The sequence below is a fragment of the Homo sapiens genome, chromosome 21, assembly GCF_000001405.40.
Source record: "Homo sapiens chromosome 21, GRCh38.p14 Primary Assembly".
Classification (NCBI taxonomy): domain Eukaryota; kingdom Metazoa; phylum Chordata; class Mammalia; order Primates; family Hominidae; genus Homo; species Homo sapiens.
The window spans coordinates 29,028,410-29,045,978 of NC_000021.9; the positions used below are offsets into that span (position 1 = coordinate 29,028,410).

Sequence of the window (17,569 nt, forward strand, 5' to 3'; positions counted from 1 at the left end):
AGCCACTGCACCTGACTTTCTACATCTTTTTTGTTTTTTTTCCTGAGACGGAGTCTGGCTCTGTTGCCCAGGCTGGAGTGCAGTAGTGTGATCTCAGCTCACTGCAGCCTTTGCCTTGAGGGTTCAAGCGATTCTCCTGTCTCAGCCTCATGAGTAGCTGGGATTACAGGTGTGCTCCACCACACCCAGCTAATTTTTGTATTTTTAGTAGAGACAGGGTTTCACCATGTTGACCAGGCTGGTCTTGAACTCCTGACCTCAAGTGATCCGCTTCCTCAGCATCCCAAAGTGCTGGGATTACAGGCGTGAGCCACCGCGCCCGACCTTCAACAACATTTTTAATGGCATATTATTGCATTTAGCAAAGACCATGGATGTATATTTCATAATTTATTTAGATAATTTTCTACTGTTACAGATTTAGGTAATCTTTAACTTTTTAGTATTATGAATGGCTCAGTAGTAAACAACTTTATAGCTAAATCTCTCTGTACATCCAAATATTTTCCTAATACACATACATAATTTTTGAATCGAAGGGTGTAAACATTTTTAAGACTCTTTTGATCCTGTTGCTAAATTGCCATCCAGAAATGTTTTACTAATTTCCAGGCCCCCTATTAGCGTAGTAAAGTGCCCATTTCCCTGAACCTTCATCGGCACTGGTTAGTATCATCTGTAAACATCTGTGCTGATTTGGTAGTTAAAAAAGGTTACCTTCTGACCAGGTGTGGTGGCTCACGCCTGTAATCCCAGCACTCTGGGAGGCCAAGGCGGGCAGATCACGAGGTCAGGAGATCGAGACCATCCTGGCTAACACGGTGAAACCCCGTCTCTACTAAACATACAAAAAATTAGCTGGGCGTGGTGGCGGGCGCCTGTAGTCCCAGCTACTTGGGAGGCTGAGGCAGGAGAATGGCGTGAACCTGGGAGGCGGAGCTTGCAGTGAGCCGAGATTGTGCCACTGCACTCCAGCCTGGGCAACAGAGCAAGACTCCGTCTCAAAAAGAAAAAAGAAAAAAAAGGGTACCTTCTTTTTCTAGTTTGTATTTCTTTGACTACTGAGATTTGGTAGTTTTTCCACCTGATCCCATTTGCATTTATATTTCTTTTCTTGGTGCAAGATCATTGGACATAAAGCTAATTATGCCACTTGACTAGTTTCTAAACCTCCAGTGTTCCTGGAACAACTCAGCACTGTAGAGTGGTTTGCAAAGCTCTTTACTTATCTTGGCCCCAACAGAGTTTTCAGCCTCAGGTTCAACTGCTCATTTTTGCACATTGTGTAACTCCATCATCTGGGGAGACAGCATGCACTTTCACATGTTTTTGTTCTTGGCATGGGCATTTTCAGATTGCCCTTCACTCCCTGAGGTCGCAGTTTAAAGTGTGAGCTATGAAGTCTGAAAGACTTGAGTCTAAATTCTGGCATAGATACTCAGTAGTTATGTGGGTACTAAATCTTAGTTTTCTCATTTGTCATTGGGAATAATAGTGTCTTCTAGGGTGATTGTAAGGATTAAATGGGATAATGTATTCAAAACATTTAACAAAGTTCATAGGACATATTTAATTAATATCAGCAATTTTTATTACTATTATTATCTTCTAGGATTGCACAGATGTTACCTCCCCTGTGAAACTTTTGGTGACTTTAGCCTTCTCTGCTTGTGCTGCTATACCATGTTTCGGAGATTCTTATACATTAATTTATTTAGCTGCCTTTCCTTCCAGAATGTGAGCTACTCAAAGAAAACAGCTGTGACTTGGTCAATTTTGGGCTCCTGAGCGTCTAGCACAGTGCCTGCCCTATAGTAGGTGTATTATTGACTAAATGAAGGACGTTTTCTACAAATCTTTAAAGATAAAGAGAATCATAAGTATGATAAAGGGCCTTAATTTAAAGGAAATAGCCAAATAAATTGAAATGAATTTGTAGTGGGGGACAGTGGTGGTTATATTTAGGACTTCAAGAAAGCGAAACTTCACAAATTTGTGTCAAATCTCTTTCTCACATATTTATCTCATATTATTCAAATATCAAACAATTTTAAGTTCAGAATATCTTAACAGTTTATAGAGTAAATTTCATTTTTGAAATGTGAATCGAGGGTAAGTTTTGAGATTAACTGAAGAAAGTCATTTTTGACCTTATATATTCCTTGTCTATTATTTGTTTTAATAGAACCTGTGTGCAGACACATTAGAAAAGGATTGGAACAAGGTAATTTGAAAAAGGCTTTAGTGAATGTGGAATGGAATATCTGCCAAGACTGTAAGACTGACAATAAAGTGAAAGATAAAGCTGAAGAAGAAACAGAAGAAAAGCCTTCAGTTTGGCTGTGTCTTAAATGTGGCCATCAGGTATGCTTACGTTTTAAGATCAATATGGGATTTTAGAAAACTCTTTGAACTTACTTTAGAAGGTATTACCTGAAAGTACAGTATGGATAAAAGGATACTAGTAACATAGATCATGTTCTCTGGAGAACCAGTTCTGAGATGTGTGTATAGGTGGTGGAGTGTTCTCTGGTACCACACCAGTAAAAGTAAGGGAAGCAAGATTAAGCATAGGGAGAAGTTGAATGAAGAGGCAGTGGCAACAGGGTCTCAGCCAATCCCACAGTGATCTCTTGCCTGAATTGAGGCAAGGAGCTAGACCTTTCTACCTGTGCATAGACCAGTCATTGGATGTGGCCTGCCCCTAGAGCAGGAAGTAACCTTGGGCAAGGCAGCTCCCTTTTGTTGAGACTGATTCCTGGGGATGGATGGACTAGACTGTGAGCTCTCAGCCGGCCACATTCTCAGCACCTGGGGGAATGAGTAGTACCTTGATCTTTGGCAGTGAGGGCATGTCTGGCTGGCACATCACAGTATCTACTCTACCAGCTCACAGTTATTACCGTGGTACTAAAGTCAGGGTCTCTCAGTTACCCTTAGTGGTGGCAAGTTAAGCTTATATGTTAGGAAATTGGGCTACTAGGCAGTAGTCATGAAGTCATGAGGCTTCAAGATCAGGCAGATAGCCAGTTTTTTGTTGTTTTTTTGAGATGGGGTCTCACTCTGTCACCCAGGCTGGAGTGCAGTGGCACAATCTTGGCTCATGGCAGCCTCCACCTCCCAGGTTCAAGCAGTTTTCCTGCCTCAGTCTCCAAGTAGCTGGAATTACAGGTGTGTGCCACCACGCCTGGCTGAGTTTTGTATTTTTAGTAGAGACAGGGTTTTGCCATGTTGGCCAGGCTGGTCTCAAACTCCTGATTTCAAGTGATCCACTCACCTTGGCTCCCTCAAAGTGCTAGGAATACAGGCGTGAGCCACTGCGCCCAGCCAGGATTTTTTGTTTTTTCACGTTTTCAAATTGAAAATCTTATTGAGGTTATTATAGATCATGTGCAGATCTAACAGATAATACAGAGAAATCCCTATGCATTTTTCTCAGAGTCCCCCAGTGGTAACATTTTACAAAATGAGTATAATATCACAACCAGGATATTGAGATTGAAACAACACACCAATCGCAATCAGATCTCCTGAGTTTGACTTCTTTTTTTGTGCATGTGTGTATGTGTACATGTGTATTACATTCTGTACACTTTTGTCACCTGTGTAGATTATTCACCACCACAGTCACGATACTAAATAGTTGAACATCACAGGGATCTCTTGTGTTGCCCTTGTATAATCATACCCACCTCCCTACTGCCACCACTCTCTGCAGCCCCTGGCAACTACCATTCTATTCTGTATTTCTAAATTTAGTCATTTCATCAAAAATGTTATGTAAATGGAGTCATACAGTGTGCAACATTTGGGGATTGGCTTTTGCTTTTTTCTTTTTTTGAGGCAGGGTCTCACTCTCTCACCCAGGCTGGAGTTCAGCGGTATAATCACGGCTCACGGCAGCCTTCACCTCCCAGGCTCAAGTGATCCTCCCACCTCAGCCTCCTGAGTAGCTGGGACTACACCTGCATGCCACCACTCCTGGCTAATTTTTGTATTTTTTCTAAAGATGCGGTTTTGGTATACTGCCCAGGCTGGTCTTGAACTCCTGGGCTCAAGTGATCTACCCCCCTGGGCCTCCCAAAGTGCTAAGATGATAGGTGTGAGCCACCGTGCCCAGCCAGGATTGGCTTTTTCACTCAGCATAATCACCCAAAGATTTATCAAAGCTGTGTGTATCAAGTTTGCTCTTTTTTTATTACTGAGCGTATTTTATGGCATATAGTACAACAGCTTGTTTTTACTGTTTACCTGTCGAATGACAACATCTGGGCTGATCCCATTTTTTGGTGATTACAAATAAAGCTGCTGTTAACATTTGTGTACAGGTTTTTGTGTGAACTTAGATTTCATTTCTCTAGGATAAATGCCCAAGAGTGCAATTGCTGGGTCCTATGGCAATTTAATGTTTAGTTTTTTAAGAAACTGCCAAACTGCCAAACTGTTTTTTCACAGTGACTCTACCTTTTATATTCTTACTAGCAGTGTATGAATGATTCACTTTCACTTTTTCTTCATTTTTGCCAGCATTTACAATTGTCACAGTTTTTTATTTTAGCCATCATGATAGTTATATACTGATATCTCATTGTGGTCAGTTAAAAAAATCTGTATGTTAGAAAAGATACTGTTTACTTGTATTTGAAAGGTTTAATTGTAACCTTTTAAATACATATGGTGAGTATGAATATGCTTTGCTATTTCAGTTTTTCAGAATATATTTTGTGTTACAAATTTTTGTGCTACCTTTTTAATTTGTAAGAATAAGACATGTCAGTATTAACTGCTAACTTTTTTCCCACTAGATACCTTTGGCACTGTTAGCTAATGATTCTTAACTGTTGTCTCAAGACAACTATGTTTCAAATGATCTCAAATGATGTTGTAATTTTCAAAAATAGTATCAAATGTTAATTCATTTATTTTGTAATTAAATGTTCAGTGGGATAAATTAAGCGAATAGTGTTTGGGATCATAGTTAAGGAATTAGAAATTACCAATGTATATTTCTTCTCCAAAGTATATATTTAGCGGCAATGGAAACACGACCGGTTGTTGTACTGTGATCCAAAAGTTGATAGACTGGTTCCAGTAGATACACAGTGAAGATATGTTTCTCAGCAGTGATCTGACTAGCTGAAAGCAGAAGTTTAGGTCATGTTCTTTTATGAATAAGCCTATACATCTTTTAGGTAAAAGTCTCCCATTTACTTGTTTAAATAGTGTTTTTTGACCACCTCCTGTGTTCTAGAATATTTGGTAATAGATTAAGTCTACTGCCTTGAGCCTTTGGGATTTATAGACCAGGTGAGAAAGGATATAAATATCAATAACGTTAGTACAAGGTAAAAAATAAGGAATGCCACTAGGAATTCATGCCATGTTTTATAGAATTTGTTTAAAGGAAGGAGACAGTATTTTCTCATCTGGGAGATAAGTATAGGCTTCTGGGAGGAGGTGGCTTTTGAGCAAGATCTTGAAGAGTGGGTGGGATTTGGTTAGGTAGCAGTGTTCATAAAGGATTCTGGATAAATAGAATAATGTGAACAAAATTGCATAGTTGTGAAAAGCGCTCAGTGTGTTTTTAGCTGGTCGTTGGTATGTGAATAAGAGAATGTGGGAGTTAACACTGGAGAGATATGTCGGGGTCAGAGGATGTCAGGTTTGTTTATTAGGAGTTTAAGAGTGCAATTCATAATTTTTGAATGGTGTATGAACAGAGCTTTGTTTTAGGAACACTAAACTGAAAGAATATGCATGTGAAGAAGGAGGCTGAAGTTAGGGGAATGTTTAGGAGACTGTTAAGGAATCCAAACCAGACTTGACTGCATTAGTGTGGTTTAATCTGGGCTGGAAAGTTGGACAAGAAGAGTACTTTGAGTGCATGGTTTTCTTTTTTTTTTTTTTTTTATTTTGAGATGGAGTTTTTGCTCTTGTTGCCCAGGCTAGAGTGCAGGCCCAGACGTGATCTTGGCTCACTGCAACCTCCGCCTCCTGAGTTCAAGCAGTTCTCCTGCCTCAGCCTCCTAATTAGCTGGGATTACAGATGTGCGCCACCACACCCGGCTAATTTTTGTATTTTTAGTAGAGATGGGGTTTCACCATGTTGGTCAGGCTGGTCTCGAACTCCTGACCTCAGGTGATCCCACCCCTGGCCTCAGCCTCCCAAAGTGCTGGGATTACAGGTGTGAGCCACCGCGCCTAGCGAGTGCATGGTTTTCTAAATACTTGTTGACTTAAATGTTCTCAGTTGCCTGTGCATATGTAAGTTTTAACAAAATATTGATTCTAGAGTCTAACATTTTCTTTTCAAGATTGTAAGAATGGCAGAATTTCATGAGCCACTTCCTTGTTTATGATAGATTATGCATTCTCCCCTCTTGCTGAGTTTTTATGGCTTTGAGGTTTATGATTATGATTTTTTTAGGGCTGTGGCAGAAATTCTCAGGAGCAGCATGCCTTGAAGCACTATCTGACGCCAAGATCTGAACCTCACTGTCTGGTTCTTAGTTTGGACAACTGGAGTGTATGGTGAGTTTCAGTTCCTCTGCCTCTTGGGTGGAAATTATTTGAAATATTAGAGAATGGAAATGTTTAAATATGTTTAAGAAGAAAGCAATTTAAAATTTTTGTAGTATGTTTTAAAATACCATCACTTTCACAAAGCTAAAGAATGCAGTATTATGAGAAGCTTTTACTTGGACGTTTGCACAAGCACAAACATTGTAACATAGAAGACTTAAGAATCTTTACCCCTTTGTTTTTCTTGCTTGTGATATTATAAGGCATATAGTGGAGATAGGGACGCTAAGAACAAATTTCAGATAAAATTGTAATAAAATTTTGGCTATGAATTTGCATGAAAATAAATGTCAGTCTGGTATGTTATAGATGCTGCATTGTAACATCATTAAAACAGATTTTTACGTCTTAAAAATCATTTTCACAGTAGTCTTCACTGAATGACATCTTTTTTTTTTTTTTGAGACGGAATCTTTCTGTCGCCCAGGCTGGAGTGCAGTGGTGTGATCTCGGCTCACCACAACCTCCGCCTCCCAGGTTCAAGCAATTCTCCTGCCTCAGCCTCCCGAGTAGCTGAGATTACAGGGATGCACCACCACGCCCGGCTAATTTTTGTATTTTTAGTAGAGACGGGGTTTCACCATGTTGGTCAGGCTGGTCTCAAACTCCTGACCTCGTGATCCCCTTGTGATCCGCATGCCTCAGCCTCCCAAAGTGCTGGGATTACAGGCATGAGCCACCGTGCCTGGCTTGAATGGCATCTTTCAATTGTAAAAGTTGTTACTTTTGTCTGGCTAACACGTTGAAACCCCATCTCTACTAAAAATACAAAAAAAAAGTAGCTGGGCATGGTGGTGGGTGCCTGTAGTCCCAGCTACTCGGGAGGCTGAGGTAGGAGAATGGCATGAACCAGGGAGCTGGAGGTTGCAGTGAGCCGAGATCCTGCCACTGCACGCAGCCTGGGCAACAGAGCGAGACTCCGTCTCAAAAAAAACCAAAAAACAAAACAAACAAAAAAAAGTTGTTATTTTTGTTAGTGTTATTCTGTATTTTAAAATATATGTAAACAATCTTTTGACTTCAATGTTATAACCAGTAAAGTAAAACGTTTGGAGTATTTCATCATACTACTTATATGCAGCCATAATTCTGGCTAATTTTATTAATAATAAACCAGAGTTAATATGCATAGTCTTCTTCAGGAAAACAGAATTTTTACGTTCGGTTTCTTTAATAGAATAAGTTGGCAGTTACACACTTTGATTCCAGGAATTATTATTTGTCTCCCCCTTTTTAGTTGTCATTTTGTCATTTTTCATCTCTGATTTTTGGGTCACAGGTGTTACGTATGTGATAATGAGGTCCAGTATTGTAGTTCAAACCAGTTGGGTCAAGTGGTTGATTATGTCAGAAAACAAGCCAGCATTACAACTCCAAAGCCAGGTAAAATAATTTGTTTCTTTAATATACACCAAATGTCGATTTGTGTATCTGCTGATACTTAGATTTGTTATACTACCTAGCATTACATACAGCTGAGTAACATTAGTTATGGTTGATTGCAAACTATGAAACTATTTTTGGTTTAACTATAAGGTATTAGAAGGGATATGAGAAATGATCTAGTCAGATGTGATGAAGGCCATAGACTAAGGTAATGGCCATTAATGCTAAGACTAAGGTAATTCCCATAACCCTAGCCAGGCTTACTATAGACCTGCCTTACACTGTTCTTACTGTCGTACATTTTGTAATAGCAAGATTTCAGTCTGTCTGCTGGGATAACATAAAGCATTTGTGATTCCTTCTAATGGTCAGATATTTCTTAGGTTCTTTCCATGCATAATTAAATTAATTGGCTGACATACAGCATTTGCTTTAAGCATGTTTTTTAAGTTTTTATTGTCACAAGTATCTTTGTCAGAGCCAGAATTATTTGTTTTTTACTTTAGGATTGATTTTTGACCCACAGAATTCATTAAAAAATTTATTTCATGTCCATGTTCTTGATTGTTTTATATTCTTAATTTCACAAGGTAAGATGTGTTCATTTGTAAAGAATTTTCGTGCAGTAAAAAAGGGAGATTTATACCAAAGCACATACTGTTTGGTTTCATTTATCAAACTAATGCTTACTTTAGGTCTGAGTATTTTTTGTTTACTGGGTTTTGTGTTTTTTTTCTGGATGGCAATTTACCTGTATCTATTTAAAATCAAATGGGTGGGTGGGTTGGAAAGAATGACTTCAGGTAAACTCACAAACTCTAGTACTGTTTCCCAAGTATACTTCTGCATTCGATATGACTGTATTACACATTTTGCTAAATCTTTTCTTTTTTTAAAGCAGAGAAAGATAATGGAAATATTGAACTTGAAAATAAAAAATTAGAAAAAGAGAGTAAGAATGAACAAGAGAGAGAAAAGAAGGAAAACATGGCTAAAGAGAATCCTCCCATGAATTCTCCTTGCCAAATAACCGTGAAAGGACTCAGTAATTTGGGAAACACATGTTTCTTCAATGCAGTTATGCAGGTACATTGTCATTTTTTTCCCTTTAAAAAAGCTGTCCTTTTCCTCATAGAATCTGCTACTTACATTATTGAGTTTTTTCCACCTGAGTAATTTATTTCTATGTATCCAAAGAAAACTTTTTTTTTTTTTTTTTTTTTTTTTGAGACAGGGTCTCACTCTGTCACTCGGCTGGAGTGCAGTGGCACGATCGTGGCTCACTGCAGCCTCTACCTCTTGGGCTCAAGCAGTCCTCCTACCTTAGCCTCCAGAGTAGCTGGGACTACAGGCATGCGCCACCACTCCCAGCTAGTTTTTGTATCTTTTGTAGAGACAGGGTTTCGCCATGTTGCCTAGGCTAGTCTTGAACTCCTGGGCTTAAGCCGTCCACCCCCTTTGGCCACCCAAAGTGTTTGGATTACAGGCGTGAGCCACCATGCCTGGCCAAAGAAAACTTAAGGAAAGTTTTATTGCATGACAGTAAGAGAGTTTGGTGAGCACTCGGGTGCAGTGGGTTTGAAAGAAATATTGCTGCTTCTTTCATGGAGCTTGCACTTGGGTGGAGGAAACACAGGATAACCTCATATAGAAGCAAATACGTACCTACAGGTAGTGGTAAGTGGTTGTGAGAGAGTCATGGTGGAGGATTGGGGATAGCTACTTCTGATTGGGTGGTGGGAGAATGCCCCACTGAGGTGATGAATAAGCTCAGAACTGAAGTAGTTATGACCCAAATAGAGTAGGGAGAGAAGCATCTGTAACTTTTCATTTTCCAAGTATAGAGTTTTCAGTGTTGGTCATGATTTTCTGTTTTGATAGAATAGACACTTAAGAAGTGTCAGAGTTGATTTGCCTTTAAATAATTTTTCTCTTTTTTTTTCACCCTACATTCTAGAACTTGTCACAAACACCAGTGCTTAGAGAACTACTAAAAGAAGTGAAAATGTCTGGAACAATTGTAAAAATTGAACCACCTGATTTGGCATTAACAGTATGTTCTTTAAACTTTTCTAGTCTGTAACTTTCCTCTCTGAATGTGTGTTTTCTAAATTATTTTAAATAACTGACACTCATTTCCACTGTTTTTGTTTGTTTTGTTTTACTTTAGGCTACTAACTTAAACAGTTTCAGGCTAATAGAAGTTATAAGGAGGCATTACATCTGTTTGCTGTGTGTGTGCTCTGTTTTTCTATGCTCGAGTGTTAAGCTTCCTTCTTGGGAATGTGTATATGTTTGAGAAGCCTTAGGCTTACATTATTATTTTTAACATCTTTAAGGTGACTTAAGAGCTGTGTAACCAAATAAATATTACCTTATCCATTTTTATTATTTACATTTTGCTTTGGCTCTTTCAATTCTTAGGTAGTAAGTGTTCCAGATAATCTAAAACTAAAATAGTAGAGCTGAATTCTGCATAAGACAGTCTGTGACCAAACAGTTTCTATCTCTTTTGATGTACATTTTAAACTTTTAAATGGGGCAGTTCTGTCAGGAACATTGGTAGTATATGTTAACTAATTAGATTTTAGTAAAGTCAGTGATTCCAGAATTTGACTGAAGAAAGTAATTTCTTTTCCCATATTCAGGAACCATTAGAAATAAACCTTGAGCCTCCAGGCCCTCTTACTTTAGCCATGAGCCAGTTTCTTAATGAGATGCAAGAGACCAAAAAGGGGGTTGTGACACCGAAAGAACTCTTTTCTCAGGTCTGTAAAAAGTGAGTATCCACTTCGATTGTGCTTTCAGTGCCTCAGTGAGATGCTGAGAAATAATATTAATATTAAATAGTAAAATATAAAAATATTAATAGCATTACATTTAGTCAACCCTCTATATACAAAAGGCATAGTTTTTTTTCATTTGGATTTTAAAATATATTTTATGTGATAGTTAAATCTCCCAAGGGTGTTAATGGACTAAACGGAAATTTGTAGAAACCAGAACTCTCTGAGATTTGGGATATGATCCTAAGATTTTCTAAAAATAGCTTCAGAGCTTAGTAGACTGAAGATTGCTTTTCTGTCTTTTTGTTTTTCTCTAGAGCAGTGCGGTTTAAAGGCTATCAGCAGCAAGACAGCCAGGAGCTGCTTCGCTACTTATTGGATGGGATGAGAGCAGAAGAACACCAAGTTAGCATGTTATGACCATTGTATTTTATGATCTTATCTTCATAAGCTTTCTGTCTCATTTGATATCTTACGAGTTAAAACAATGAAAGCTAGTTATTAAGGCCATCATACTTTAAAATTTTTTCTTACACCAGCTTTTTCAACTAGTATGTTTTCACCATTAGAATGAATCCAGAGAATTAGCAGTAATTCTCTTTCTCATGATGGCTTAAGTTTAGTTGATGTTTACAGCATTAATGTTCTTTAAAGATTCTGTTGTACTAACCTATACGAAGAGAGCTGCCAAATATTGGAAATTGTTTCTCCCAAACCCAGGTGCAGCACACCCTTACTTTTAATTCTGAGTCTGATTTAATACTGTTTTTTGAACCTAGGAAGTATTTTCATTTTGTAAGAGTCAGGGAACATTGGTTGCATTTTAAAATTTTTGTTACTTGCCAGGATATAAAAAAATGTATTTGGGGTATGAATTAATGAGTACTAATAATAGTGATAATAACTAATATTTATTTCGCACTTATTTTTATGCCAATCACTGTTTTCAGTGTTTTGTATTAATTCCCTTACTTCGTTCTCACAAAGTTTCTGTGAGGTGGATACTGTGATTTTTTCCTATTCCATAGATTGAGAATCTAGGCTGTAGAGAAGTTCAGTACCTAGTTTAAGGTCCCCCAGAAATAATGGAGCTGGGCTTTAAGCACTGGAGTCAGACCCTGTGGCTGTCATGTAATCATTGTGCTTGTAGGACAAGCTATTTCAGTTTCTTCTCAAAGGTGGTGGGCATGTTCTGAAAACCTTTGGCTTGAAGAGGTTTAAGATCTTGAAATGATAAGATAATACCTTTATTCAATGGTTAGTGATTGCTTTGTGACATAATTCCTTTTTAGCTCCTTGAATTAAGTTTGAAAATGTGATTTTGGAATTATTTAGTAAATATGGGGAGCTGTATCCTGATCACTTTCTTGACTTGATTACATATTTCTAAGGAAAATAAAATTTAAAATTTAATAGTATATATATATCCATTTTATTACTTTTAGAGAGTGAGTAAAGGAATACTTAAAGCATTTGGTAATTCTACTGAAAAGTTGGATGAAGAACTAAAAAATAAAGTTAAAGGTAATGTCTGACTTTTTGAACTAAAACACTATAGTTGAATTCCTCTGTACCTTAGGACAAGATTGCTGGCACATATATTTCCAAGTCCACAATTATTAATGTATAATTTCTCTTTATCAACGTTGATTAGTAAAAATTATTCAGTGCTCCAGAAGTGAACAGTTTTACCCCATGGTGTATTCTTTTTATGTATTAAAGATAGAACTATGATGAATTACAGTTTTACTTTTCAAAAGCTTAAAATTATAATTAGCAGTAATACATGAATTATATTTGTTACTGTGAGTTGTCAGTAGTTGGTTTATTAATCATGGAGCCAACTTAGTTCTTATTATGTGGCGTGTAAAGATTTAGGGCAGATCTGCCCAGTAGAACTTCCTATGTTGATGGAACTCCTCTATACCTTTGCTGTTCCATATAGAAGCAACTAGGCACGTGTGGCGCCTGAAATGTGACTGGTGAAACTGAGGAACTACATTTTTATTTTTATTTAATTGTAATTAAATTTAAATAGCCGTAAGTGACTAAGGGCACTGTATTATAAAGCACAGATTTGAATCAACTCATAGCAACTCTTTGCCTCCTTGGTGCCCTTTAGAGCCTGGCCAGTAATGGAGAGAATTACCCCTGCTGGCATTTTCTGTCAGAAAAGTGTGGTTCTGCATAAATTATCATTTGAATAATGCTTATAGGTTTCACGTATTTGGAAAATTGGCTGATCAAGTAGTAAAATTATGGCTTTTAGTTATATTAAACTTATCAAGATTATTTCTGGGAGCATAGGAAAATAAAAGGAAGATTTTGTTTGAAATATTTTCCTGAGGTTTTTCTTTTGTTTTTAAAATATCAAAGGAGTTCAGTCTTAGAGTTCACAAAACAAGTTACATGCATTTTCTCTCCCAGTTTGCTACTCTGGTATCTTTTATCAGTCTTGAATGTTAGAATGTTAGAGCTAGAACTAAGGAACTAGGCTGTCATTCAGCCTACTCTGAGCTGTTCATTTTATACTAATGGAGAGAGAGAGAAAGACATAGAAGTCTCACTGACTTGCACAGTTTACTTCCCACTGACTAGATCTTGGATAAGGACTTTTTTGTCTTATTCATAAAAGGCGATTGTGTTCAATTATGTTATGCTCAGAGGTGGAATATATAATACTGACTTCTATTGCTTAAAAAAGGTGATTATGAATGGAGGAAGAAGTCTGTGGGACAGGAAATTTAAAATAAAATTTTAGAGTTAGATAGGTAAGTAGTTTTAGCTTTTCTTGTTTAATTAATTATATAACGGTAATTGGTAATTGATAGACTTTTTTTTCTCCATAGATTATGAGAAGAAAAAATCAATGCCAAGTTTTGTTGACCGCATCTTTGGTGGTGAACTAACTAGTATGATCATGTGTGATCAATGCAGAACTGTAAGTAGATGTCATGTATACTGGGTTTATTTGCTAATATTCAACAGTTTATCAATTGTTTATTTCAAAAGCAGAAATCTCTACCTTCATAGGATATCTTTTTAAACTATTCAGATGCTATTCAGATGTGCATGGTTCTTTGTGGGAAATGTCAGCACTCCTTAAATCTTGAAGACGTTAAACAGTTTGATTTATTTCCCCCAACCCAAAGTCCTCAATGTTGTGTAATTTTTCATTTCAAATTTTCTTAAGCCTTTGTTTATTTTAAAACCCATCCCCTACTCCCCATCCCACAGGGCAGGGAGGATCTTACTATGTAACATTTACAGTATTTACATTTTTACACTGTCTTTTCTGATTGGTTAAGGTCTCCTTGGTTCATGAATCTTTCCTTGATTTGTCCCTCCCAGTTTTAGATGATCAGGTAAGACTATTGAATTTATTTTATTCAAGTAGATTTTTTTTCCTGTAAGATTTTGTGGGGGGAAGCCTTGTTACTCTTTTTAAGTTTGTATATTACTAGCCCATGCAGAAATTTTTCTTAATTTGAGGTAGAATGCATTTTAGGATTTGAATAAAGAACAGGGTAACTACTTTAAAAACAAGGATGGAAAAAAAGATGATGTATTCAGAATTCTGTACAAGTAATTAGTTTGATTGGTTTCCATACAGTGAAGTATTTTCCTTATATTAAAATTAATACTTATTTTTGTTATTTAAGACTAATCACGAATCCCTTGCACACCTAAGTTCATAAATGTTAAAGAGTATTATTTTGTTTTAATTTGGTTCCTTTTAAATAGTAGTAGGAAAAAAGAAGAGATGTTATGAGTATTGGATAAATCATTCTTCAACTTCATATGAATTATGAGACCCTTGGCTTGTTAACTTGGCAATTAAAGTCTCACCAAATTTTATTTTCTGTTTTTCTGAAACTGTCATATGCATGCAAAGAAAGAAAAGAATAAAAAAGAATACACCGTGGTGACTTACATAAGTCACTTAGAAAATGTATTTGGAAATGGACGTATTTACAGTGTGACACAGCATGTATCTAATAAATTTCGTTATATTTCTATTACACTTACATGTGATGTTGCCTTTTGCTGTTTTGTTGGTTTGCTTGTTTTCTCATTATGTGAAGATTGCTTTCTAGTGTATGAGATAAACGAATTTTGTCTCATCTATTTTCAAATATTGTGGAAAAAAAAAGCTAATACATAATAGAAGTAGAAAAATATTTACATAGTGTGGATTTTTTTTCACCAAATGGTAGTTGTAAAATTTTGTTTTTGACCTATGTTATCTATATTTTAAGAGTGGTAAGAAAAGTGTAAATGATAAAAATCTGAAAAAGACAGTGGAGGATGAAGATCAAGATAGTGAGGAAGAAAAAGATAACGACAGTTACATAAAAGAGAGAAGTGATATTCCTTCTGGAACAAGTAAGCACTTACAGAAAAAAGCAAAGAAACAAGCCAAAAAGCAAGCCAAGGTGGGTAATTAGGAGGAAAATCATATGCTTGTAATTTTATATTTTGAGCTATTGAGTTTGTAGTCTGAATGACATTGGTTAGACATGTCTGTTATTTTAGATACAGCACTTTCATTTGACAATTACAGAATTTAGCTCATTTAGTATTCTCTGCAGGGAAATTGCTTTGAGTATATGTGAAGAAAACGTCGTGCTTCTTTTTTTTTAAATCCTGCATTGCTTGTAACAAGTATTTGTAGTAAGTTTAATTAACTTAATTTTCGAGTTAATATTATTGACATCCACAAATTTAAAAATATATAAAGGTAAACAATAAGTCCCCCTCCCACCACTGTTTTTTTTTTCCAACCCGAGATGGAGTCTTGCTGTGTCGCCCAGGCCAGAGTGCAGTGGCACGATCTCTGCTCACTGCAACCTCCATCTCCTAGGTTCAAGCAATTCTCGTGCCTCAGCCTCCTGAGCAGTCAGGACTACAGGTGCATGCCACCAAGCCTAGCTAATTTTTATATTTTTAGTAGAGACAGGGTTTCACCATTGTTGGCCAGGCTGGTCTCAAACTCCTGACCTCAAGTGATCCTCCCTCCTCAGCCTGCCAAAGTGCTGGGATTACAGGCATGAGCCACCGCGCCCGGCCGACCACCACTTTCCTTTTATGACAAAGATAAACATTTTTGTTTTTTCTTACGTATCCTTCTGGAGTTTCTTTTGGAAAATATGAGCAAATACAAATATGCAGTCTTGGTTTTTTTCCCCCTTTCTCACCATTCACACCATTCTGGATTGTGTTGTTTGTTTATACTTAGATTCTTGGAGTCCTTTCCATTTTAGTATATAAAACTTCTTCATTCTTTTTTTTTTTTTTTTTGAGATGGTGTCTCACTCTGTCGCCCAGGCTGGAGTGCAAATGGCGAGATCTTGGCACACTGCAACCTCTGCCTCCCAGGTTCAAGTGATTCTCCTGCCACAGCCTCCCAAGTAGCTGGGATTACAGGCATGTGCCACCGTACCTGGCTAACTTTTGTATTTTTAGTAAAGACAGGTTTCGCCATGTTGGTCAGGCTGGTCTCTAACTCCTGACCTCAGATAATCTGCCCACCTCAGCCTACCAAAGTGCTGGGATTACAGATGTGAGACACCGTGCCTGGCCCATTCTTTCTTTCTTTCTTTCTTTCTTTTTTTTAACAGTTGCATGATTCTGTGTTATGGATGTGCCATAATTCATTTAACCATTTCTCTATTGATTTAGGTTGTTTCTAGTATTTTGCTATAATGGTGAGTGCTCTAGTGAATAACCCTACACATAAGTCATCTGTAGGGTAAATTTTGAGAAGAGGGATTGCATTTGTAGTTTTGGTTGATACTAATTGTCCTTCACAAAGGTTGCTCCTGACCCTTGACAGCTGTGTGTTATCAAACTTCCAGATTTTGATTGGTATGTTAGATGGAAAATATTATCTCAGTGCAGTTTTATTTTACATTTATTTTAATATAAATTAGATTAAGCATATTTTTATGTTTCAGAGCCATTTGCATTTCATGTTCTTTGAAGTTTTTGCTTATATTCTTTTCTTATTTTTTATTCATGTGTTCCTCTGTTTTTACGGAAACACATCAGAAAATGTTTGGTTCCCATCCTGTTTGCTGCCCTTCATTCTTCTGGTATTACAGAGTAGCCTCACAGGGGCTGTTCTTTCAGTTCTTTCTGTTACAACCAGAAATGCCTTTGGGTTTTTAGGCATTTCAGTAACAGGAATCTTGATGAAATGCCTTCTTTTCCTCTATTTGGAAGTAGGTTGCAAGTGGCAAGAGTGATTTTAAAGGGAAAAGTTCTTTACTCTCTTCTGTATGTGTGGCTACCTTGCTTCTTTGCTAACTTCAGGCCATTTTTTTCCCAGAATACTTTTGTCCATTCCTCTGACCAAAGCAGTCCTGTACTTGTGCATCCTTGAGTTTTCTTTCAGTTTGTTTTTTTTTTTCTCTCAGTGAAACCTTGACCCAGTAACTCATATGGATACATTTCTTTCTGTTAGTGTGGAGTCAGACCCACCGTGTGGTATAACATTTGACTGCCTGGGTTTAACAGTCTTAGTACTCTGCCTGGATTACTTCCCTTAGCACAGAGACCATGTCTTGCATATTTTTATTTCTACAGTAGGGTGGTTTTTTGATGGTTGGTGATGGTTTATTCCTGATTTCATTTAAATAACTTTTTCTTTCTTTTTTTTGGGAACAGAGTCACTTTGTTGCCCAGGCTGGAGTGCAGTGGTGTGGTCTCGGCTCACTGCAACCCCCACCTTCCATGTTCAAGCTATTTTCCTGCCTCAGCCTCCCGAGTAGCTGGGATTACAGGCGCGCACCACCCATGTGTGCATTACAGGC

The 17,569-nt window shown here is 37.3% G+C and overlaps 1 protein-coding gene across 6 annotated transcripts in view, besides 1 other annotated feature; it reads left to right on the plus strand.

The window, feature by feature from the left end:
- USP16 (ubiquitin specific peptidase 16) overlaps positions 1 to 17,569 on the plus strand; it is a 29,821-nt gene that overhangs the window by 3,742 nt on the left and 8,510 nt on the right. For 3 of the 6 annotated variants that reach the window (NM_001032410.2, NM_006447.3, XM_017028257.2), the window contains 11 exons: positions 2,186 to 2,364; positions 6,428 to 6,531; positions 7,862 to 7,965; positions 8,867 to 9,054; positions 9,926 to 10,021; positions 10,617 to 10,747; positions 11,072 to 11,159; positions 12,200 to 12,278; positions 13,604 to 13,695; positions 14,063 to 14,119; positions 15,014 to 15,190. In NM_001032410.2, coding sequence (NP_001027582.1) covers positions 2,186 to 2,364; positions 6,428 to 6,531; positions 7,862 to 7,965; positions 8,867 to 9,054; positions 9,926 to 10,021; positions 10,617 to 10,747; positions 11,072 to 11,159; positions 12,200 to 12,278; positions 13,604 to 13,695; positions 14,063 to 14,119; positions 15,014 to 15,190 — 1,295 coding nt within the window. The remainder of the gene's footprint in view (positions 1 to 2,185; positions 2,365 to 6,427; positions 6,532 to 7,861; positions 7,966 to 8,866; positions 9,055 to 9,925; positions 10,022 to 10,616; positions 10,748 to 11,071; positions 11,160 to 12,199; positions 12,279 to 13,603; positions 13,696 to 14,062; positions 14,120 to 15,013; positions 15,191 to 17,569) is intronic. The other 3 variants (XM_017028258.2, NM_001001992.2, XM_017028259.2) reach the window with 1 other exon arrangement.
- Positions 15,522 to 15,720: a silencer, noted in NCBI's record as "fragment chr21:30416252-30416450 (GRCh37/hg19 assembly coordinates)". NCBI's record gives its function as "represses an EF-1alpha promoter that drives an FKBP-Casp9 reporter gene in an ReSE screen in phorbol 12-myristate 13-acetate-treated (for megakaryocytic differentiation) K562 erythroleukemia cells {active_cell/tissue: K562(+PMA)}" and the evidence as "EXISTENCE:reporter gene assay evidence [ECO:0000049][PMID:32094911]".